General features: G+C 36.2%; 1 protein-coding gene and 1 pseudogene across 1 annotated transcript in view; one reads left to right on the forward strand and one right to left on the reverse strand.

The window, feature by feature from the left end:
• On the reverse strand, positions 1834–2439 carry HMGB1P30 (high mobility group box 1 pseudogene 30; annotated as a pseudogene).
• CPB1 (carboxypeptidase B1) overlaps positions 4863–24424 on the forward strand; it is a 32377-nt gene continuing 12815 nt past the window's right edge. The window contains exons 1-9 of the mRNA NM_001871.3: positions 4863–4946; positions 5054–5129; positions 11550–11674; positions 17738–17837; positions 17926–18027; positions 18875–18976; positions 21530–21640; positions 21729–21819; positions 22476–22678. Coding sequence (NP_001862.2) covers positions 4876–4946; positions 5054–5129; positions 11550–11674; positions 17738–17837; positions 17926–18027; positions 18875–18976; positions 21530–21640; positions 21729–21819; positions 22476–22678 — 981 coding nt within the window. The 5' untranslated portion in view covers positions 4863–4875. The remainder of the gene's footprint in view (positions 4947–5053; positions 5130–11549; positions 11675–17737; positions 17838–17925; positions 18028–18874; positions 18977–21529; positions 21641–21728; positions 21820–22475; positions 22679–24424) is intronic.

Consider the following 24424-nt stretch of genomic DNA (forward strand, 5'->3'; position numbering starts at 1 on the left):
TTAGTCCTACAAAGGCAGTCTGGTCCCCAGGCAAGGAGGGGGTTTATTTCGGGAAAGGGATATTATCATATTTGTTTCAAATTTCAATTATAAACTAAAGTTAATTCACCCCACACTCAGGAATCAGGAATAAACAAGAACAGCTTGGAGGTCAGATGCAAAATGGAGTTGGTTAGGTCAGATTTTTTTTCACTGTCATAATTTTCTTGCTGGTATAATTTTTGCAAAGGCAGTTTCAATATCACCAACTAAACCTGTGATGTCAACACTATTGCTAAACGTTTTAGTTATATTAATAACAAGTTCTGTCATTTAGCTAGTTTACTTTTAGTTTTGGTTGCAAACAAGGGGAAATTAGGGATAGGAAGTGAAGAAAGAACCCAAATTGGGGTTGATGGATTTCAAAAGTTGAAGCTAGAAAGACATTAACAAAAGCCAAATCCAAAAGGCAAGGTCAGTGGGGAGGAAAATACACAAAGCAGAACAGTGAGCAATGAGGTTAGAATCTGGAAGAATCAGCAACAGAATAAAATGTGGTGTACAAAGCAGATTACATTAGGATAATTTAGAACAAATCCATGAATAATAAGCAAATGTTGTGATGTATCATTTTTGTGGTACCCAAAGCATAATATAAAAAAGACATCCCATGTGTCCATGACCACACCACCCTGAATGCACCCAGTCAACTGATCTCGGGAAAAAACATTTTATATGTACACCACTCAATCATTAATTCTGAAAATACAGAAGATTCTAAGACACTAAAAGGAAACTGTCAATTCTAAGAATATACACATGGGTCAGAGTAAGATGATTTTATGACTTCAGATAAGTTTATAATTTTTATTTATGTAAATTTTCATAACCAAAAGGGAATTCTGGAAGGTATGTTTGCTATTAACCTAAGGGAAGAATAAAATTTGACCTTCCTAGGAAAGCAATATTTGTCTTAATATTTTTCTCCCTATAATGTTACTATTGAACAATGTCAAAATAATTTGACTTTCTTGTGAAAATGTCATATTGTCATTATTTCTATATCCTTCCACTCAACAAAGTACCTTGTGCTTGCTAAAAAACAAATTAAAATGAATGAGACAGTTTGATATCTCAAGGAGCTTGTAATCTCAGGGAAAGGAGAAGGCTTCACAAATATTCAACTAGAATACAAAAATAAATAAACAATATGAAGAAATAAAAGCAAAACACTATGAGACTATATAGAAAAGGAAATAATTAACACCCACAAAAGAAGCAGACTTGTCAAAGTCAATGAATTGCCTAAATTTTCAACTTTTTAATCAGTTGTGTTGATAGAGTATCAATATATAGACCATTTATATCCTTTATATCCAGAAGGTTATGTAAGTGGGCTTTAATTTGTTTAATAAAAACATTCAGAACATCAACAAAACAGCTGTAACTTTTTTTTTTTTTTTGCAATTACAGTGTGGTATTCAGTTAACTAAACAACAATTATTTTTTATAAACTGCATCAGAGACAACTGAAGATGAAAAAACTACCATCCTCATATACAACTAATTTGGGCTGTGCACTGACAAGAACCTACTTTAAATTTCCACACCCATTTACAACCCCAGTACTGTAGCAGGCAACGTTAGTGTCTTATTGAAAATACCACCAGGACAGGACAATCAGAAGATACATTTAGTAGTGTGTTAACCATACCGAAAAAGATAGTATACAGTTTAAAAACTTATCTTAGGCAGCCTTACCTTTCAATTTTTTCTTTAAAAGGAGTGAGGGTTTACAGGGGATTTAAATGCTTTATAGACTAGGGGAACAACTTGTACTAGAGCCAACTTATTTATCATTATCTTCTTCATCTTCAATTTTTCATCTTTCTCCTCCTCATCTTTTTCATCTTCTTCATCTTCCTCTTCCTTCTTTTTCTTGCTTTTTTCAGACTTAATGACCCCTTTTTTTGCTACATCAGGCTTTCCTTAGCCCAGAGTGCAACAATATCCTTTTCATATTATTCTTTCAGCTTCACGGCCTTCTTTTCGTAAGTCTGCTTGTCATCTGCAGCAGTGTTATTTCCTATCTCTCCGAGTTTCTTTACAACATCACTGATGGATAGGCCGAGATGTTCTGCTTTGATTTGGGGGCAAAATCAGGAAAAAGGCTGAAAGTGGCCTCTTGGGCACATTAGGATCCTTGAACTTTTTTTCCCCCTCTTAGGAAGGATATAGGTTTTCATTTCCTTTTCACAACAGGCCCTGTCTGCCGTTGCCATGTATTGAAATTTTCCTTTCTCTTTAGCAGAGAGGGTCTTCCACTTCTCTGAGTGCTTCTTAGAAAACTCTGAGAAATCGACTGAAGCATCTGTGTGCTCCTCCTGGCAAATTTGCACAAAGAATGCATATGATGACATTTTGTCTCTTGGCTTCTGAGGTTTTCCTTTGCCTATGTTTGGTTATTTTTCCTCAGTGAGGCATGGAGTCATCTAGTGCCTGACCAGCTCTCACTTGTTCTAGCACTTTCTCTATGGATCTCAAATTATGGTAATGGCTCTTTAACTTTTAAAAAAAATTTGTTGTACGCAGATTATTGCCTCAGGTGAAGTGGAACAGTCAATACTGAAACTTAAGGAAAAAGTTGCCTGTCTGTCTAAGGCAGACATTGATGGTTAACTATTGTTAACAATATTGACTATTGCACAGAATCTACCATGGCCTGCAAGGAGGAAGTCTAAGGTAATTCTACCATCCATGACAACCCTGGCCAGTGAGTTGGGGCCGCCCTTAATGCCTCCCAGGGCTAACGTGGTGTTTAGTGCATTTTGTGTGTGTGTATGACTTAGGATCCAATCTAGGATGTCTCTTTAGTCTTCTTTAATCTGGACTAGTTCTTCAGCCTTTATCCTTCATAATATTGACATTTCTAGAGGGTAAATGTCAGTTTTTGTGAAGGATGTCCCTCATTTTGGTTTGTCTCCTTGTTTCTCATGAGAAACAAATTATCTTAAAGGTTAAAGAGCCATTACCATACATTGAGATCCATAGAGAAAGTGCTAGAACATGTGAGAAAAGCCTTTTCAACAAATAATAGTGGATCTACTGAATATCCATATTTTAAAAATGAATGATTCATATCTTACACTAAAGACTCATATCTTACATAAAGACCCCAAACTACAAATCTCTTATAAGAAAAAAAATAAGTGAATGTGTTTGAGACCTTGAGATAGGAAAAATTCCTTTGAAAAAATGTAAAGACACTAATTATAAAAGAAAAATGTTGGTAAACAAACTTTATCAAAATTAAAAACATCTGTTCATCAAAACATAACATTAAGAAAATAAAAATGCAAGCCACATACTGGGAAAAATATTTGGAACATATATTTCTAACACAGGTCTTGTATCCATGCTATATAAAGAACGGCTACAACACAAGAATTAAAAGACAACCAATTTCTTTAAAAAGGCAAAAGACTTCAATAGATGCTTCACAAAAGAAGATTTACAAATGATCAATAAACACATGAAAAGATGTTCACCACTACTAATCATCAGGGAAATACAAGTTAAAATTAGAATTAGATACCACTTTATACTCATTAGAAACACCAAAATTAAATACTAAAAATAACAAGGTGTTGGAGAGAACATAAAGCCACTAGATACTGATGGAAGCTTAAAATGGTACAAACCACTATGGAAAAATTGTTTAGCAGAATCTTATTGTGTTAAACCTAGATTTACACTATTACTTAACAATTCCACTCACATGTCCACCCCCTTAAATGAAAACATATGCCAAGAAAAGAACTTGTACAAAAATATTTATTGCAGCCTTATTAACAATAACACAAAATTGGAAACAATATAAATATATATCAACAGTAAATAGCTAAACAAATTATGACATATCCATACAATGGAATATCACTTATTAATAAAAAGGAATAAACCAATAATACCAACAAAGCCGAGCACAGTGGCTCATGCCTGTAATCCCAGCACTCTGGGAGGCCAAGGCAGGCAGATCGCTTGATGCCAGGAGTTCAAGGCCAGCCTGGCCAACACAGCGAAACTGCACCTCTACTAAAAATACAAAAATTAGCCAAGCATGATGGTGCATTTCAGTAATCCCAGCTACTCAGGAGTCTGAGGCACAAGAATCACTTGAACCCAGGAGGTAGAGGTTGCAGTGAGCTGAGATCACACGCCACTGTACTCCCACCTGAGTGACAGAGCGAGACTCTGTCTCAAAAATAATATCAATAGTAATAATGGTAATACAAACAAAAATACTGATAAATCTCAAAAACATTATCTTGAATGAAAGAAGCCAGAAACAAAGGAATATATATTGTATAATCTCATTTACATTAAGTTTAATACAGGCAAAATTAATGTATAAAGCCAGAAATCAGAGTAACATTTGCCTGAGAGGAGTACAGAAGTAGACTGGAAAAGTGCTCAAGGGAACTTGTTAGGGTGATGAAAATGTGCTATATCTTGTTTGGGATGTTTATTACATGGGTTTACACATTTGTCAAAACTCATCAAACTTTACACTAAAATCTGTAGAACTTATTGTATGTAATTCTCAATTCAAAACAGAAAAAAATACAAAATAGATTTTATTTAAATCTAATTTACTCTCAGACTATTCAAGTTCTGATCCAAATTAAATAAGTTGAATTTGAGAGTATTTACTCTATTTCCACAGGTGTTGAGAGAGATACCCTCTCAGACTTTACACAGCTACCAAGGCAACAATGCCAGGAAAACTATTAATCAAGATATGATAGTTCCTGTTTGCAATCAGGAGAAGAAAGCAAAGAACACTCAGGATTATAAAAGCAGATGAGACCTACCCACTAGACCTGGTCAGACACAATGTTGGCACTCTTGGTTCTGGTGACTGTGGCCCTGGCATCTGCTCATCATGGTGGTGAGCACTTTGAAGGGTAAGTAAGCCATCTTTAAGGAGCAAGTCCTTCTTCCTTGCTAGCCCCCAAATTTGGACACATTACTCATTTCCAATTCTCTGTGCTTCTATTATCTCATTATTCAGCGAGAAGGTGTTCCGTGTTAACGTTGAAGATGAAAATCACATTAACATAATCCGCGAGTTGGCCAGCACGACCCAGGTAAGTAACAATTTTGATTTACTTCACATCTAATTTAAAATCTTAGATCGCACTGTGATTCCGACAATGGAAAAAAAAACATGAAATATTAACTATAGCATTTTGGTAGCAAGAAATAAAAACTTGGAAAACATTTAGTGCCATAATGTCTTCTTTTTCTGCCTAAATTAGATTGCCATAAGCCCTGTAGTATTATAAATCCATGGTAACTTTTAAAAGAGCTGACAGTGTGACAACTGGATGAGTTGCAACTGTCACGAAGGTCACAGAACATCTAATGTACAGTCACTTTCCTTCTAAGGCAAAAGAGAAAAATGATCAACTTGGATATTACTGAAAAACTGGGCTTTTGTCCAACTTCAAATTCATTTCCACATCCCATGTATCATCTGTCCTCTTTGATTTTCTTTCATTCCAAATCAAACAGCTTGGGTTTTCATGACCTTGATTCAGGTCCCCTTAATGATATGACGTGAGGGGGAAAAAGAGGGTAAAAAGCCATGAGTGATTTTCATACTTTTCTTTTGCTTTCAAAAAACTGACATCTCTGTGCTAATTTTTTAATCCACTATATATGAGGTGAGAACTGACATTTTAAACTGCGTATACAATGTGGCAGGAAGCTATTGCTGACCACAAATACAGTAGTTCCACTTGGGCCAATGCCGTTTCTTCATAAATATATAAACTAAAATAATCTGCTAGCTTATACACACACACACACATATACATACATAAACATATATAGTCATTTTGTAGCTTTTAAGGCATAGAGGAAGGAAGAAGAAGGTGGAGAGTGTCATAATCACAGGCTCAGAAGTTCAGAATTGAAAGAAATATAAACTCATCTATTCCAGCAATCCACTCAAATCTGGAATTTCCTTCTGGGAAACAGCATCCCCAGTTACTACTCCTGGTAAAACCTGTTTGAGTACTTCCAGGAATAGTTTGTATACTACTTTTTGGAATAGCCCACTTGCCTTACAAATCATTCCAACTGTTTTCTTCCTTATTCTGAGCTGAAAGCTTCCTTCTCTAACTTTGACCTGTTGGGCTTAGCTGAGTCAAATATCATGTTACCTCTAAGATTTATCTTTTTCAAGCTTTCCGTAATTTTTCTTAGCACTGGTATACAGACTCTTGATCATTCTGCTCAGATCTAGATACAGCTCAGTCTTTCTGTCTATATTTCTTTTTTTAAATGTAGTTACCAGAATTGACTATGGACCTCCAGGTGTGTTCTGATTAATGTATACTACAGGGCCATTGCTTGCCTTCATTTGTAAAGCAGACATTTATTAATGGTGCCTAAGATTCTTTTTAGCATCTTAAACAGTCATAGAACACTATGAGCTTATATTAACCTGTGTTCAGTCAAAACCATTAGGTAATTTTTTTTCCTCACATGAATCACCCTCAAACAGGATGTCCCTCCTTTTGTGCTTACCTAATTGACTTTTTTCACCTAAATGTAGGATTTTAGATTTACACTTTTAAGATTTATCTTGACAGCCTGTTTTCAGCATGTTGAGATCTTTTAGAAAACTAATTCAGTCATCCAGGGCAATAACTCTTCCCCTAACTTTGTCTCTCCAACAAGTTTGATAATCATGTCTTTTTGACTTTTATCCTTGTCACTGATAAAAGAAAACATTAAATAGGTCAGGAGTCACAGAATTAGAGGCCTTCTTTACGTTTCACTCATTCAGTACATATTTATCATGAATCTCCAATGTGCCAGACATAGTGTTAAGCACTGAAGAGATTCATTAACCTATTCTGCTTGCATAAGTTTACTCAACTACCCAAGCTAGGGGGGTGTTACCTAGGGGTAACTCTGCCTGGTGCTTTCTGGTTTATAAAGAAAGATATCAATGCAGAGACTTCATCAAATGCTTTACTAAGATCAAGATTCAACATTCTACCAGGTTAGTGCTCTCATCCAAAACTAAGGTGAATTTAATTGGGCCTGACTTATTCTTGCTTTAAACCATACTGGCTCCCAGAGACCACAGCTTCCTTTCCTCAGCATTCACAATCCATCTGCTTCCAGTTCACTCTGCAGCTTTGCCAGAATCCATGCCAGGCCCCAGCAGCTCCTGCTTCTGGGCTTCACCTGTTTTCGTGTTTATAAAATCTAAAACTTGCCCCCTCTACTCGCCAGTGAGCCCTTCGAGCTCTGATTCTTCCAAGATTGCTGAGAAAGTTCTGCAATCACATCTGCAGTATTTTTTTAGTTATCTAAAATTCAGCATTTCATAGTGGTCAAGAGCAGAGAGTCTGGACTTAGACTGCCTGGGTTCAATTCCTAGCCTTTCTACTTGTTAGTCAAACTTGGACACCTCTCTGGGTCTCAACTTCCTCATTTGTAAAATGAAGATGATAATACTATTTACATAGGAGATTGTTGTGAGAGGTAAATGAATTAATATAGGTAAAGCAATTAGAAAGAACTTAAATAGTAAGAATTATATGTGTTTGCTGTTACTACTATCATTAGGTCTGGGATTTTGAATACAATTTATATGGCTAGTATAATCAATCACCTATGTCCTCATCTACCTTGGGCCTCAATGTTCTCTTTCCAAAGAAGGTATTTCTGTTTAAATCATAACATGAAAAAATCTTTACTTATCCTTGTGGTAATTTCATCTCTCAGTAGTAATAGAATAAACAAGGAATAGTGTAACTCTCTCTTGGAAAAGACAGAAGCCAAAAAACAGTTAAATAGGGCTTCTTTCTTTCCTCTGGCTGCAAACATCATGCTTTAGCTCCAAGCAGTGGGACACATATTTCTTCTTTATTCTTTTATTTTCAACATGATTGAAATGAGATTTTCATTCTCCTTAGCAGTTACGGGAACAGCATATTCTGGGCTGTAGCCTTCCTGATAAGATCATTACAAGGGCATCCAGTCTTTGTATTCATCCTTGGCCATGTGTCCTTCCTCTCAGCTTTTGAACATGTCCTTTTAAATGCTGAATATATTGGGCAGATCCGTGACCACACTGTACTCCAGCAGCCCTTCTTTTGTCATCTATAATTGAATATTAAGGATTTTATTTTATCTCCTCACAATCAGGGTTGTGCTTGTTCCTTTATTGAAGGCATTCACCATAAAACCTATTCACTTTTCTCTGGACTGTCTTGAAGTCTGTGTTTCTCAAATTTAAGGTGCATTTTTCTCTATGCCTGGAGTAACATGGTTACTGTCTTCCAATGTTCTTATCATTCCTACTGTACCAGTAAGTTCCTCACTGCTGTCTGGAATTGGGCCTTGAGTAGAAGTTGTTTTCTTTTCCAACAAAAAAGGAAAATTTCACCAAGATAAATGAAAAGTCTATCAGATGTTTGACTTACAGTCAAATGCAATGTGAAGAAACAAATTCATGCAAATTTTTGAAGAAAAAAAGATCCCCAACACCAATATTTATTTTTTTATTGGCCAATCTTATTCCTGGAAAAATTTCAGGTTGGCATGCTACTTTATCTTGCTTTTAGGCTAGTTTTCTGAGATATTTTAGGAAGGATTCTTTAGTTGTTAGGCAGCCGGCTGATTAAATTGATATTCTTATAATGCTATCATTTAAAGATATCTCTTGATCATCCAATAAGTGTTCTATATGGTTCTTTGTCACATTTATAATTTTATAACTTCAGTTTTCTAACTTCATAATGTATAGTTTAATTCCCTACATCTACATCCTATATTTCACTCCATGTTTATATTTCAGACATACATCTCATTCACAAGGTCCTGGTAATTTCTGAAATTTATATTTATCACCTTATGTTATTACTTTGACTTTATTACCTATATTCATATTTGGTGCATTGGTAAACAGCTGTGAGGCTATAGCATTGCTCCTGATTTCCAGCCATGTTTCTCCTAGGAAGTATCAGAGACTAACTCCAGTATAGTGGGTCTGTGTCACACATGCAACACTCCAGAGTGTTGTATGTATGTTGATAGGTTTGCTAACTGGTTTTCTCCATGTCAAACTGAAATTTTTAAGCAACCTCAGGTTAGTTCTGTAAGTTTCTGTCAAACATATTTATGAGATTTATTTGCCCCATCTTAAAGAATCCATAATTCTTGCACTGAAATCTTAAAAGTAACACTTTCTCTAAATATATAGACTCTTCTAATATTTGGCAGAGCTAGGACCAATGGGTAAGAGCTGAGGAGGATACAGATGACAATTTTCAGTTTAATATTAGAAAGAAAACCATTTATAAGCAATTAAGCTGTTCTGAAGTGGCACTAGATATACACAAGGTTCTGCTAGAACCACCACCAAGAACATCATGCAAGCATTTAATGCTTTGAGTGGAAAGCTAGCATCTTAATACAGGCTCTTCCAAAGCAGACCCTGAGACAAAGATTCAAGGGAAAGAATTTTATCTGGGAAGTGCAGGGAGCCCTGGTGAAGAAGTGGGGAGTGCTAAATAGAAGTAAAGGCAGCCAACAAAGGAAACAGTGTTAAGCCAGCTACCACAGAGGACAACTGGCGGTAAACCCACAGGGAAACTCTAGGAATGTGTGCAAACAACACACTTCAGAATTATCCCACCTGAGAGGTGAAGGAGTTGGAGTAATTCATCATTCGCTTTTCAGGATTCTTGGTTGAACCACAAAGAATAATTTCCTTGGTACCGCCTGTCTACCTGGAGCTGATAACTTGGCTTTTCCCAGTTCTACAGGAAAGAGCCCTCAGGTACAGAGAGGCAGATCTTAGCAAGGGGAGTACACTGAGCACACTAAAAGGTCCCAGCAATTATGTGCCAGCGGGACACTGTCTGGTCAGCTACAGATACATGGAGGACTTTATGTGCTTTGCCAATTCTCAACCTTGTCGTCTATAATAAAGACATATCTCTCTCTCCCACCACACCATAGAATGACAGGTGTTTATTAGGAACACAAATTCAGAGCTAAGTTTCAAAAATATGCTTTCTCTTATAATGTGCTTATCTTCAATTGCCCTTCTCTCCACAATGTTGGCTAACTAGAAGTTGTCACCAGCCCCTTGCTTTCTCTGTCCTTATCTTAGCATGTCTTTATACTTCCTCACTTCATTTAACCTCTCATCCTTGACTCACTAGGTCACCTTCTACAGCCAATCCTTATCCAAACATTGATACTCTATCCTTTCAATCCCTTTGTGACAACCTCACTCATGCTTTTTTCTTCTGGAACACCAGTATCCCTGCCTCCCATTGCCCTGACATTCCTTATGGGCCTGATTCGTGACTCACCACCTCTAGATTTCTACAGTGGTTTGAAGCTTACCAGGACAGAATATAGGTTACTGGGAGCCCCACAAGTGTATCTGAAACTGAGATGCCTTACAGTATTACCTTGTCAGTTTCTGCTGCATAACCTCTAAGTCTGCCCAAACTCCCTTCCAAGTTTCCAATCAGTGGTCCTAAATATCACCATCAGACATATCTCTAGCCCCAAAGCAGTGCGCAAACATCCGAACAGAGATTGGCTGAGACACAGGGAGAAAGAAAGACCCAATGTCAGGCTGACCTCAGACTTCTAGGCTTCCACTCGGCACAAGCAAGGAAGAGAATAACAGACACCTACAAGACACAGTATGTTTTAGTTAATATTTTTCCACTGAAAGGTGTTACTTAAAACCACACATCCACAGATTAAAAAAAAAAAAACAGCTATTTGGGGCTTCATCTTCTCTAATGTCTCCCCCATAAAGACAAAGGCCATGTTTGATTTGCCCACTAATGTATTCCTAGTCTCAGACACAGAGCCTAGCATATCGTAGGTTCTCACAATAGTTGATGAGTAACTGAATAAATGAAAATGTCAGTACATGACTGGATCCCCAAGAGCAATTTGTCTCCAGCCACAGTGTCAATATACCCATTGTGAAAAGATGCCATTTTTCTTCCTGATGTATCCACCACAGGTCAGGGATCCTCCTGGTTCCACATATTACTGTGACTTCCAAGATAAACTCATAAAATAAGTCCATTAAAAAGTAAAACAGCTTCATATTTCTCCATTAAATTTTGTAATTCTAGTTAATTCATCATTCATCTGGCACATAGATCCATTACCACATAGCATCTATTCCAACAAGTTAGTGATCCAGAAAATCAATAAATAGAAAAGAACAGTTACAGAATACAACCAACTAGCATTATGGGAAATGATTCTATGTTTTTTCATGTTCATTGATAATCAATCAAGGTTATGTATATATTTGTTAACACTTTTATCAACATCTAACTGCTTGGTTCCAACCCTTGTTCACTCAAAGGAAATATTTTCAACAGATTTCATGGATGATTTGATTTTGAAAATAACTCAATTCAGTAGAGCAATAATGTGCTCGCAGATTATCCTTCATCCATTGAATTATAGGTATCCAATATATCTTGTCCTTTATTCAGATTGACTTCTGGAAGCCAGATTCTGTCACACAAATCAAACCTCACAGTACAGTTGACTTCCGTGTTAAAGCAGAAGATACTGTCACTGTGGAGAATGTTCTAAAGCAGAATGAACTACAATACAAGTAAGTTTATGTTTTATAAATATTAAAATTCTCTCCCATGCATGCTTTCATCTGAGCCTTTGAATAACTCTGGGAAGGAAGAAATGAGACCAAGACCAATGCCTTCCCCAGGACCCCACAAATAGGTAATGGCAGAGCTGGCCCTGGATTCCAAGTCTTAAGACTTCAGTTCTGATGGATTTTGTGTTTAGTTATTGCTCTAATTAAAATGGTTTTTATTCTTGACCCCAAGTCTTCTGCCAGATATCTGACTTGGTCCATTTTACAAGCAATGTATAGAGTACAGGCCTAGCCAATGGATACTCTATTCTCAGCTAGACATAGTTTTAACCCCAAATCTTATCAGCTCTTCTTTCCAGGGGATCAGCGAGACCTATTGTGAGTTATGAGGGCTATTTGTGCTTTTTTTAGCAGAAGGATAAGTCTAGAGTCAGTCTGAATGGCCCTTCTGTCCTTTTTTCTCTAAAGTCCCACCACTATCTCTAATGGTAGGAGAAGGCATGGAGAGAAAGACGCAAAGAAAGGACTAGAGTAGTTGGCTAAGCTGATCCTGTCTCCCTCACTGAATACCACTTTCGTTCATCTAGGTCTTTCATGACAAGAATGTCTTCCTAAGTAAAGGCAATTGTCCATTTGCTGATCCAACAAATCAATATTGAATGTCTACATGTATCAAGTTCCAATAAGGACAGATATGACCTCACATCCTTTAGGGGAAAACAGACTTTAAATAAGGAATTGCAGTAGTATTTAACAGATGGAAAGAAGAGTAAAGTGCTGGAGTTCAGAAGAATAGAGCAAGTCTAGGGGTCAGGGAGGGCTGTCCTAGGAAATGATTCTTCAGCTGAGAACTGAAAGATGAGTAGGAGTTGATTAGCCAGAAAAAGACAAGGAAAAACCATACTTTAGGAAGAGAACAGACCATATGCTGAGGCTTAGAAGTGGGAGAGACCATGCTAACCCAGGACACTTGCATAAGAGGGAAGGAGGAAATAAAGTCTCTAGTACAAAGCAGAGGTCCTCCTCCAGGGGGTAGATTAGGGAGGAACAAAGACAAAGTCTTGGGCTCCGGTCCTGAACATTCAAATGTTTATCCGGCAATCCCCCATCACAAGCTCAAGTCTTCATTATGTTTTGGAAGAATGTAGCCTATATAATTTTAACAGAAATTTCTCTTGTTTTTCACGTCTTAAAAATGTAAAAGAATAGTATCTGTGCCAGTGAAGATGTCAGAATTGTCACCTATAAAATCTGTACCTCCATCAGGAGAAGTGGGTAGCATAGTGCAACAAGTAAAGGCTTTGGGAAAAAAACAGATTAGATTCTAATCCTGGCTTTGCACATTGCTGTGTGATTGTGGGTAATTTGCTCAACCTTTCTGAGCTTCAGCTTTCTTATCCATAAAATGAAGATACAATGCCTCTCTCAAAGGGCTGTTGTAAAAATAAAAATATATATATAAATAAATTACAACTGGTATTATATTGCTGAGAATGCTGCTATGGTTTACTGTTGTACAAAGAAGGAGATTATACGTTTTTTTTTTTAAGAGTCAACAGTAACTGCTATGTTTAACCCCATTATCATGCCTCACAAAGCTTAGCTATGTGCTTTCTGCCTGAAGGAAGTGTCAAAATGTGACCTTAAGAATTGACTGTCTTTTTAAAACAAAGATATAACCTGGTAAGTCTCAAAATGTGATTAAGATTCATGTCTATAACATTTTGCTCTTTTTATTATACTGAAAAGGACAGCTAAAATTCTAGTCCTTGGAGCCTTCAGTAGCATTCAAAAAGATGAGTTTCTTTGTAATTCTTTAAGAAAAACAAAGATCAGCGACCATAGATTAACCCTAGCTACCTGAATGATGTCTTAATTCTACCCTTATCACAAAACAGTAAAATGGTTTCTGATAGAATTTCAATCTCTATTTATAATCAGATAGAAAGTTCACTTTCTTTTTTAGTGGTGAACTTTTTGGGAATTGTGTATGAATGTTGTCTCATCTAGAACATAGGACATCCCCTGAGGGCTAAGAGCTTGTTAATTTTTGCTTCGCTGTTCACTGCTTAGCACATTTGTAGCATATAATTTTCTAAATATTAAATAATAATAAGTCCCTGGAAATCCTGGAGAAGCATACCAGCAATATCCTTGCTGGGGTTGCAAGCAGTCCCTGTGCATCCCATTATTACCTCATATGGTAACTAGTATTTAGACGATTTCCTGCTGGCAAAAATTTGCAGTAGTGTTTGTATATAACAAGAGCCATCCACTGCACACAAGTTCTACCAAAATAACTTTTCAGATTTTTTCAGTGTTTCCAACCCTCTTCACCAAGACCTGTATTATTTGGCAGCTTTAATCAGATCCTGAATTATCATAGGAAAAAAATCAAAATGTGTGCAAAAAGAAAGATAACTGTAATTTTCAATGACAAAGTTTCACTCTTAGTAACAGAAAGACTAGGAATCAGATAGTGTAAATCTCCAACTTATGGTTATGAAGCTAAGTTGACAGAACCTTTAGGTGGCCTGCCCTCCATGGAATTCCTTGCTACAGACTGTAGAAAGATTGCTTTGCCCTACTTGATTCAGGGAGACTGATTGTTGCTCACACGTATATCAGCATTTTTCTGCATATTTCAGAGGCGTACAGGAAGGTGTCCCAGGACAGCAATAGGCACATAGCAATGTTCTTCAATAACAGTGGGCGCAAAGTCCAGGTACTGATCAAATATTCTATTTTCCAGAAATCTGAAAGGGGGATAAAACTGAGTCATGTCTTTCTTTACTTCTCAGACATTGTGTTCCTTACTTTTTTGGGAGTCCCAGTTATCTAATTTGCTTGTGTGTTAGAAAAAAAAAAAAAAAAAGGAGAAGTTGGATGGCACTATAAAACGAGCATATAAAAGTATAAAATACTATACATGCTTCTCTATTTTGGAGCTGTGAGGCATTGTTTTAATCTTCTAGAATGGAAGCTCATTATTTAGTAATAATATTTTGTAATATAGCTAAAGTAGTACTTTGTCCTAAATCTAATAAAATCAAATAACCACAGGGCTGGGAAGGATCATTTGAGGTCAGTCCCCCGCCTTCAAGCAGAAGTCAGCAACACATTTCAACCTCACTCTGATGCTCTTTTGCAAGTTACTAGAGGATATTTTTACTCTTGGGTGTCATCTTCAATTTAACTAACTGGTTTTTTATGCTTCTTTGTCCTGGATATTGATGAAAATGTTTAATATTTAAAGTAGTAATAACTCTAACAGAATGTCTCTTAGTACCAAACAAAATGCCAGCCCCCACACAGTCACTGATCCTCCTAAATAATTTAAACTCGGCCAGGCGAGGTGGCTCACACCTATAATCCCAGCACCTTGGGAGGCCTAGGCAGGTGGATCACGAGGTCAGGAGATCGAGACCATCCTAGCTAACACGGTCAAACCCCGTCTCTACTAAAAATACAAAAAATTAGCCGGGCGTGGTGGCGGGCACCTATAGTCCCAGCTACTCGGGAGGCTGAGGCAGGAGAATGGAGTGAACTCAGGAGGCGGAGCTTGCAGTGAGCCGAGATCGCACCACTGCACTCCAGCCTGGGCGACAGAGCGAGACTCTGTCTCAAAAATAAACAAATTAACAAAAATAATAATGATAATTTCAACTCAAGGGTTGGGTGCAGGTAAGAGGATAGCAATATGTTCTGGAAGCTTTGAAATGAAAGAGGATGTCATTTTCTGGTCCTCTTGGGTTTTTTTTTTTCGTTCCGAGAAGCTCATCCTTATTAGGTAAGATTTGTTCTTTCACATTATGATATCGAGACATAATTGTCCTCTTAGCAGTTTCTGTCGGTTGATTTTTTTGTTTGTTTCCAGGTTTTTGTCTTACTTGGCTTGCTTTGTTTTGGTTTGGTTAGTCTGTTTTTAGTTTTTTGTTATCCTTGAATATCATTTTCCTGAACTATTTTTTAGTTTTCCTCCACGTTTTCCTGAGTTATGACAGTGGTAACTGGGAAATTTTTATTTTTTTCATAAACTTGGAAGACATGTATGTAAATGACTAAGGCTTATAGATTGGAATCAAGTCACTGCATTTTAGAATTGAAAAGGATGTTGGATATTTACTAATCAAATGACCCCCTTCTAAAACTTATGACATTAAGGTCCAGGGATTAGATGACTTTTCTAAAGCCAATTTATGAGTTAGGCAAAACTATGACCTTGATCTTTTGATTCCTCATTCATGATTCCTTCTACTTCCACCCTATTCCTTAACAATTCAACTGGGATAGTAAATATAATTATAGTGCTGACTAAAATCATTGTTCCTAACTATAAGAGACAGACTGATGGTCCCCAAAAAACTCTACAGAACATGTGAATATGTCATGTTTATCACAAAAAGGAATTTAGGTTATAGATGGAATTAAGGTTCCTAATCAGCTGATGTTAAAATAGGGAGATTATTCTGGATTGTCCTATATGTCCACTGTAATCATGAGTCTTTAAAGTGAAAGAGAGAGGGAGAAGAGGTCACAGTGATTGGATGTGAGGACTTTATCCCCTGTTGAAGCCTTGAAGGTGGAGAAAAAGGGTATGGCCAAGGAATGCAGGCGACCTCTCAGAACTAGAAAGGGCAAGGAATTAGATTCTCCCCTAGAGCTTCCCTGTTGATAACTCTTTTTTGGCCACACCTCATTTTTATCCCAGTGAGACTTGTGTTGGAATGCTAACCTACAGAACTATAAAATAAAAAATTCACGTTGTTTTAAGCCACTAAGTCTGTGGCAACTGACAAGAGCCATAGAAAACTAATACACTCACAAAGCATTGGCAGCTGCTCAATAGAAAATATTTCTCCATGGAATAACTTTTAAAATCTGCATTTTTTCCTTTTTAAATACTACCTTAAGATAGTTAAGACCTTAAGAAAGTGTTTATCTTTTGCTAGGAAACAGATTCCAGTTAGTATTAATTTATTACACTTTCCAAAAACAGACACAAGTTCGTACCCAAGTTCACCAATTGAAGGAGTGACCAGGAGGAAGGTTCAGAGGATGTCCCTGACATACTTCATCAGAATGTCCTTGGGGCAGCCAGAGGAGAAGCAGACTTTTGATGTGTGTCTGAAATTCTCTGTATGTCAGATAAAATCATTTCAAGGTTTAACTGTGGATAATAGAAATTTCTGCAAAGTGGCCTCTGTCTGTAATATTCACTGTACTGTGATCAAGGATACTAATGATCATAAACTTTTCTCTCTTCCAAGCATACTTTTCACTCAAAGTAGAAAGGGAAGTGAAGTCACACACACATACACACACACACACACACCTTCAGACTGGCCTCATAATAGAAACTATCACCTGGACAATTCATTTCTCTAAATAGTAGGCCTCAAAGATTTCTGTTACCACTTTTCATATTACCTTGCTACAGAACTATTATTAGATTACTTAACCCACCCAAAAGACAAGCAAATAGAAACTAGTTTTTTAAACCCATTCTTCTTTTACCAAGTAAATCTTCAGCTTGTTAATATTTCTGAATTTCCAGACAAGATATTTTTCTCAGAACCTAGAGACAGGTCCAAAGTGACAACTCCTCCCATTTACCCAGGACTGAGTAGCTTCCTGAAACGCAAGACTTTTAGTTCTAAATTCAGAAAAGTCCTGAGGAAGAAAGACCAAAGATAGGTTTTGAGTACATAGTGTTGTGTGGAAGCCCAAGGCCCTGACCCAAAATGTCCCAGGTACCAGGAGCAACCATTTTCCAAGTTTAAGGTTCACAGATAGTCAAATACCTGAGGTTTGGGCTGTGGAAGATCCTACCTTGCTTGCATTCTCCAGTATCCTTCTTAGTGACTTACTCACTCTTTATGGTCAGTAACAGAATCTCTCTGGAGCAGCTGAAGGTCATCAGGAAGAACCAGAGGACAACATGAGAATTTATGGAGAGTGCAATGTGCCATCTACTAAAGCAGTGGCTCTGGGGTTTTATGTGTGTTCACTGGAGAAAAATACACTTATGTTCATAGGAACACCCACTTTGGTTCGTTGCAGGGTACTGATAAGCAACCTGAGAAATGTGGTGGAGGCTCAGTTTGATAGCCGGGTTCGTGCAACAGGACACAGTTATGAGAAGTACAACAAGTGGGAAACGGTATGATGTGCACATGATTTAGACAGATATTACTTTGGGAATTGAACCAAGAATGCCACATTGATCTACAAATGATTCCATTTGGTAGATAGAGGCTTGGACTCAACAAGTCGCCACTGAGAATCCAGCCCTCATCTCTCGCAGTGTTATCGGAACCACATTTGAGGGACGCGCTATTTACCTCCTGAAGGTAATCATTTTTAACCATGACCTTGCCATGTCTGAGGGCTTTAAATCAATGAATTCTAACACATGAACATCTGTTTCACAGACACGCTTATCCCAAACATTGTTATAACTCTTTCCTGCCTACATCCCCGAGGGAACCAGATTCCCCAGCTTCTTTTATCATATGTGGATTTTTAAATCATTATTTTGATTTATTCAAAAGGAAAAATGCAATAAAATAAGAGAAGACCTATAAATTTAACCACATTCTTGTAAGCAACGTAAATGATTATCTACCTTGATGAAATTCTTCTTTCCCAGCTGTGGTTTGCAAATCCATTTTTAAAGAGGTTCATAAACTTCATGTCTATCAGACAACATTACAAAGCACATCAACAATTTGTTTCTGTCATTTTCTAACACCATTTTTGTCACGTAATTCTAATGAAGGAAATAAAAAGACAGGGAATAAGTGAGAGAGTAGTAAAAATTCTTACAAGATTAGCGACAATCATGATTACTTCTAATTACTCATCCAGTTGTCTTGGTCATGTCACCTAATAACAGCAGCTGAAAATAACCTCCACATGAGTACAATTAAGCAGGGTAATCAAGCATCATCTGAAAATATGAGCTTGTCAAGCTTAATAAAAATAATAAACAGCCATATAAGCTTTCAGCTCAAACATTGTGAGTCTAGAAGCGAGAACATACTGTGTTAGTATTATATTTTAATTTAATCATGGGATCCAGCTCTTGCTGCTGTCGGGTTTCACTTGTTGAGTCTCAAGCCCAGATGGGTAGTGGAGGTTAACCCCTGAATGTCCTATGATGAATCATGGTTTCCCTTTTCCTTTTGTTTGCAATAGGTTGGCAAAGCTGGACAAAATAAGCCTGCCATTTTCATGGACTGTGGTTTCCATGCCAGAGAGTGGATTTCTCCTGCATTCTGCCAGTGGTTTGTAAGAGAGGTCAGTGTGTAGAGTGGTTTTTGGCAAAGAGAAATGTATGTTTTAATTTTCAATTAATTCCTTAAAACCTAGAGAGAATAATAACACAGAAAAAAATACACAATTACAAGTGCCCAATTTTGGAAATTAGTTTCAACTTCCACCAACAGACCTTTATAAGGCAGAAAATTCTATTTATGGGCCAGGTGCAGTGGCTCATGCCTATAATCCTAGCACTTTGGGAGGCCAAAACAGGTGAATTGCTTGGGCCCAGGAATTGGAGACCAGCCTGGGCAACACGGTGGAACCTCATCTCTTTAAAAAAAAAAATTGTATTTATTTGAATTTCACTCATCTGAACTTTCTCACCCACATTTGGTAGAGAGTCCAACAACTAGCATAGTGATTGGTCATGTAAAAGCTAATGGTTGTGGTTAAACCAATTTGATCATTATCTCTTGGCTAATAATCATTGTACACTTCAGATTAAAAGAAAAGAGTGCATAGTAGTCCTTACTCTAAATGACACTGTTTTTCATTCCTTATCATTCTAATAATAAGATGAATGTAAAGGCCTTTTAAAAACAAGTTTTAAAATATGCATGAGTCTATACTGATATGCATAGATGATGCAATAAATAAAAGAGAGGCAAAGAACAACTCCTTCTTGCAGAAGAATTACAACTAATATATGTACAAAGAATGAGCAAAACATAAAATCATCACTAGAACATCACAGCAATAATCATGTCAGGCAAATCCACAGATGGATGTAAAATTAGTGGGTAAAAGTTTAGGGAGAAACAGGATATTTACAGAGTCTAAAAGTTATCTCCTCGCAAAAAGTATTAATTATAAAGGGAAAACTTAGAGTGGATAAACCTAGCAGAAGGAACTACCTTAACTAAGTGATCAAGGTTAACATCACCAATAATAAATAAGACATATCAATATAACGTAGCTTCAGATATGCTGTGAAAAGACATATCACCTTTGTGATATTCTTCCTTAAAATAAATGACCTCCCTTTAATCATAAACAAAATTTAATTTTGAAAAATAATTTAGACAAACTCAAAGTAAGGGACATTCTGCAAAATAAACTGACCAGCACTCTTCAACAGTGTTAAAGTCATAAAACACAAAAAGACTGAAGACCTGTCACAGATCAGAGAAGACTACGGAGACGTGACAAATAAAGGCAATGTAGGATCCTAGATTGTAACCTAGAATGGAAAAAGGACATTAGTGGATAAACTTGTGAAATCTGAATAAAGTCTACAGTTTAGTTTATAGTATTGTATCCATGCTAATTTATTCACTTTAATAATTATACCATGGTTGTGTAAGATGGTAACATTCAGGAAGCTGGATGACGGGTATGTGGGAACTACTTTTGCAATTCTTCTGTACGTCTAAAATTATTTCAAATTTAAAAGTTGAAAACATTGAAGTGCTTTAAATATATAATAATATTATTATATACAACATAATTTTTGTGTGAAGCACTTCCGTACATATTTGTTATGTAGTCTTGGTTTCTAGACATTATGTATCAGATTGGCATCACTTAGCTTCACTATGTAGCTCACCATCTGCCTTTCAGAAGAGGATAACTGGATGTTAGAATTAAATTTTACTATTTTTCCAATTTGTAGACCATTAAAAGAACATGATTGCATAGCTCCTCCAACCCAAAAAGCACATGCTTTATCATGTAATATTGTAATTAATTTATATATATAATTACAAACAGTATATAAAAACTGTTCACACATAGAAGTCTAATCTACTTTAAAGTTTATTCAAGCAAGCCTAGGGAAGGGTTGAATTTAAGTTTAATATGATGCTGGAGCAGAGGGACTGTGACTACGAGAACATATTAAATGGGCATGATGTCCCTCATTCATAGATAAGTATCTACATTATTTAACAGGGACAACAGGATTGTCCCTTCTTGAGAAAGACAACAAAGGAAACTCCCATCACTATGCAGCTTGGAGTGTTGGTGAGAGCCTCCCCAAAATCCATGAGTGTGAGCTTATTTTGAGAGGCATTCTCATTACCTTGTTATATTGGACATTCCCTCTAGTGAGATCATCTACAGGAGGTTTTATAGAAAAGAAATACATTTCTAAATGACATTATTAGGAACATGCACAGCTATCCACAGACACGTCTTACTTACTAGAACTAGTAAGTTCTATACCTTACTTACACTTATACCCTACTAACTTTGTAAAAAGCTATTGTAGTTGTTATCTTAAAAGAAATGAGTATATATGTTCTTTAGAAGTCTTTAATTAAATAAGTTTCTCATTAAAGTAAAAAGTTAAAATAAGAAGGATGCAATAGAAATATCCTGGAAGCAGAGAAGAATTAGAAATAACAATTATAAATAAAAATATCAAGTATTGGTAGTAATTTGCTGATTGCTTTTTAAATATTAATATTGTCCACCTCAATAGGAAATGCTGCTCTTATTACCAAAGTTAACATTCAACAGTCTTTGTAAATTTTAACAGCATCATAATTCCATTTTTCCATGAAATTCCTCTTCATAATTCACATACAGGCTGTTCGTACCTATGGACGTGAGATCCAAGTGACAGAGCTTCTCGACAAGTTAGACTTTTATGTCCTGCCTGTGCTCAATATTGATGGCTACATCTACACCTGGACCAAGGTATATGCACCAATACTGAGAGAGGCTGATGAAATTAAAACCAACGCCTCTCTATTATATTTGTCCTAACTATGTAGTCCACTTTCAGAGCCGATTTTGGAGAAAGACTCGCTCCACCCATACTGGATCTAGCTGCATTGGCACAGACCCCAACAGAAATTTTGATGCTGGTTGGTGTGGTAAGTATCTGGCTAGCCATTTTGCATGTATCCATTGAAAAACATAAGAGGAAAAATATGAAAACACAACAGTATCTAAAATAAAAAAAGCAAGTTTTATATTTTAAAGTTCTAACCTTCTAAAAGCACCAAAAAAAAAAAAACCAGTTTAATTCATTTGACCAAAACATATTGAGAACTCTGTTGCGTTCCCAGCTGTGCTAGATGCTGAAAATATAAGGCTGAACAAACCAGACATAATCCTACTACTCATGGAATGTATAGTCTAGAGGGGGAGACAGCTATTAAATAAATAATTATTTACATAAAATCGTAATGCAATTAAGAATGATCATAGTAATAATTTTTTCATGGATATTAGTTTGTCCCTTACTTATTAATTTTCTTGCACTATATTGATATCATTGTGTAATACTACACGGAGACACATTGGTGATTCCATATGCAACTTCTTACCAGGTTAGCTTAAAAACATACCATCCTAATCCTGTGATTAAATGGATATTTTACTATATAATATATACATAATAGGGACAACTTTAAGGACTCCTTGATAAGGACTCCTATGAAAACAACTCCCTAATTTGAAAGTTTAAAACATCCCCACAAGAACTTCACTAGGTGATCCTTGCCATTAACATCATATGTTTTTCCAGAAATTGGAGCCTCTCGAAACCCCTGTGATGAAACTTACTGTGGACCTGCCGCAGAGTCTGAAAAGGAGACCAAGGCCCTGGCTGATTTCATCCGCAACAAACTCTCTTCCATCAAGGCATATCTGACAATCCACTCGTACTCCCAAATGATGATCTACCCTTACTCATATGCTTACAAACTCGGTGAGAACAATGCTGAGTTGGTAAGTAGCAAAGTAGTAGGTATGACATTTTACTATTGAGATTTTTTAAATTCTAATCCTGAAAAAAAAATCATTATAAGAACACTTTCTGGAAGTCCCTTTATTGATTTTTTTGGTAGTAGAATTGAAAAACTTATTACAGATTTATAAGGAATCTGGAGTTGGCTAAAAGAAATACAATTTTCACGCAGGAAATTGTTCCCCACATGCGATTTATTGACTAATCTTCAAAATGACAATAGTTCCATTTCCTCTGGCTTCACCACAATGCTGACTTACATGATGATTTCAGATGCATATGAGATAATCAACAAAGTTGCTTGATCACATACATATTTTTTTTTCAGTCAGTTTTGTGAAGCTGCCCTGAGCTGAATTTGACACAGATCCAGAGCATAGCAGAGCACAGCAGATGTCATTAGGAATTTGTCACATTTGGGTGATATCAAGTTTAGTCATTAAATACTAAAATTGTTTATTTCACTTTTTGATTGGGTGAGACTCAAAAGTAAATCAATCAATGAACAAATAATGTGAATGAGTCTTTACCACATACAGGGAATAAAGCAAAGAAATGTAAGAATCTCTGACATCAAAAAAAGCTAGCAATCTTATTGAACAATCAAGACATAATCACTTGAGCAGCTAAATAATGAGTTTTCTCATAGAAATATCACATGTCAATGAATAATTTTTTAAATAAGCATGTTTGAACCTTTCAAACAATATTTCTTTAATTTATGAAACATCTGGCTGCCAGAAATTGGCACCAATAAACTAAAAGAGCAAATATAAGATTTAAAGCATTTGAGTTATGCCAAAAAAAAAAATGTATTCCATTTAGACAATGACATGGATATTTGGCTTACCTAAATGCATAAATTTGAAGACCTAGTAACTTTAAAACTGAAAATTGTTGTTTTATACTTTCAGATTCAGTCTTTCGGAGACCAAATAAAATATGTAATGCCGTAAATATTTTGAGAACAAATCAGAAAAATAACCCAGTCTCCTAGAAAATTGATAGCTAATAGTTGGATGGGCCCTTTTCTTTAAAAAACAATACAATTTTTCAAAAAGCTTTTCATTTTTCCCCATCCATGGCCAAAAATATATATATATATATATACATATATATATATATACACATATATATGTGTGTGTGCGTGTGTATATATATATATATATATATATATATATATATATATATATATATGTTAGCACCGCCAAGCATTTCAGTTTTTCACTTAAGCTTGGTCTGTATGTGTTCCCAATGGGTGCTCACAGTATTGCTCTCCCAGAGATGGGTGTGGTTGGCTCTCATTTCTGTCCAAAATTTCTGGCCACCAGAAAAGAGGAGGTGGGGGTATGTAGTTTGTATAACTCATGTAAATATATTTAAGTTGTGCCATATCAGAAGAGAAAAAGTCAAAGTCATAACTACATACTAATGAGTTAATTAAAATAAAAAAATTACAAAACACATTAAGGGTAGCAATAACATATATATATCCAGTTTGCTTCAATATCAACTAGTTTTAGACATAACTACTAAAAGACTAACACTAAAGAATAAAGTTTAAAGTGTTCCTGGAAGCTGAGCTACCAAAGTTTTCTTATTCAATACATTTTCTTATTGGAGGAATAAGTTTAAGCCCTTTTAGTGATGAGACAGCTTTGTTGCCACTAGTTGTATACAATAACAACCAGAACCTGGGCTACTCTAAAAGTCTCCAAATCATTCTT

The sequence above is a fragment of the Homo sapiens genome, chromosome 3 (genome assembly GCF_000001405.40).
Source record: "Homo sapiens chromosome 3, GRCh38.p14 Primary Assembly".
NCBI classification, from domain to species: Eukaryota; Metazoa; Chordata; class Mammalia; order Primates; family Hominidae; genus Homo; species Homo sapiens.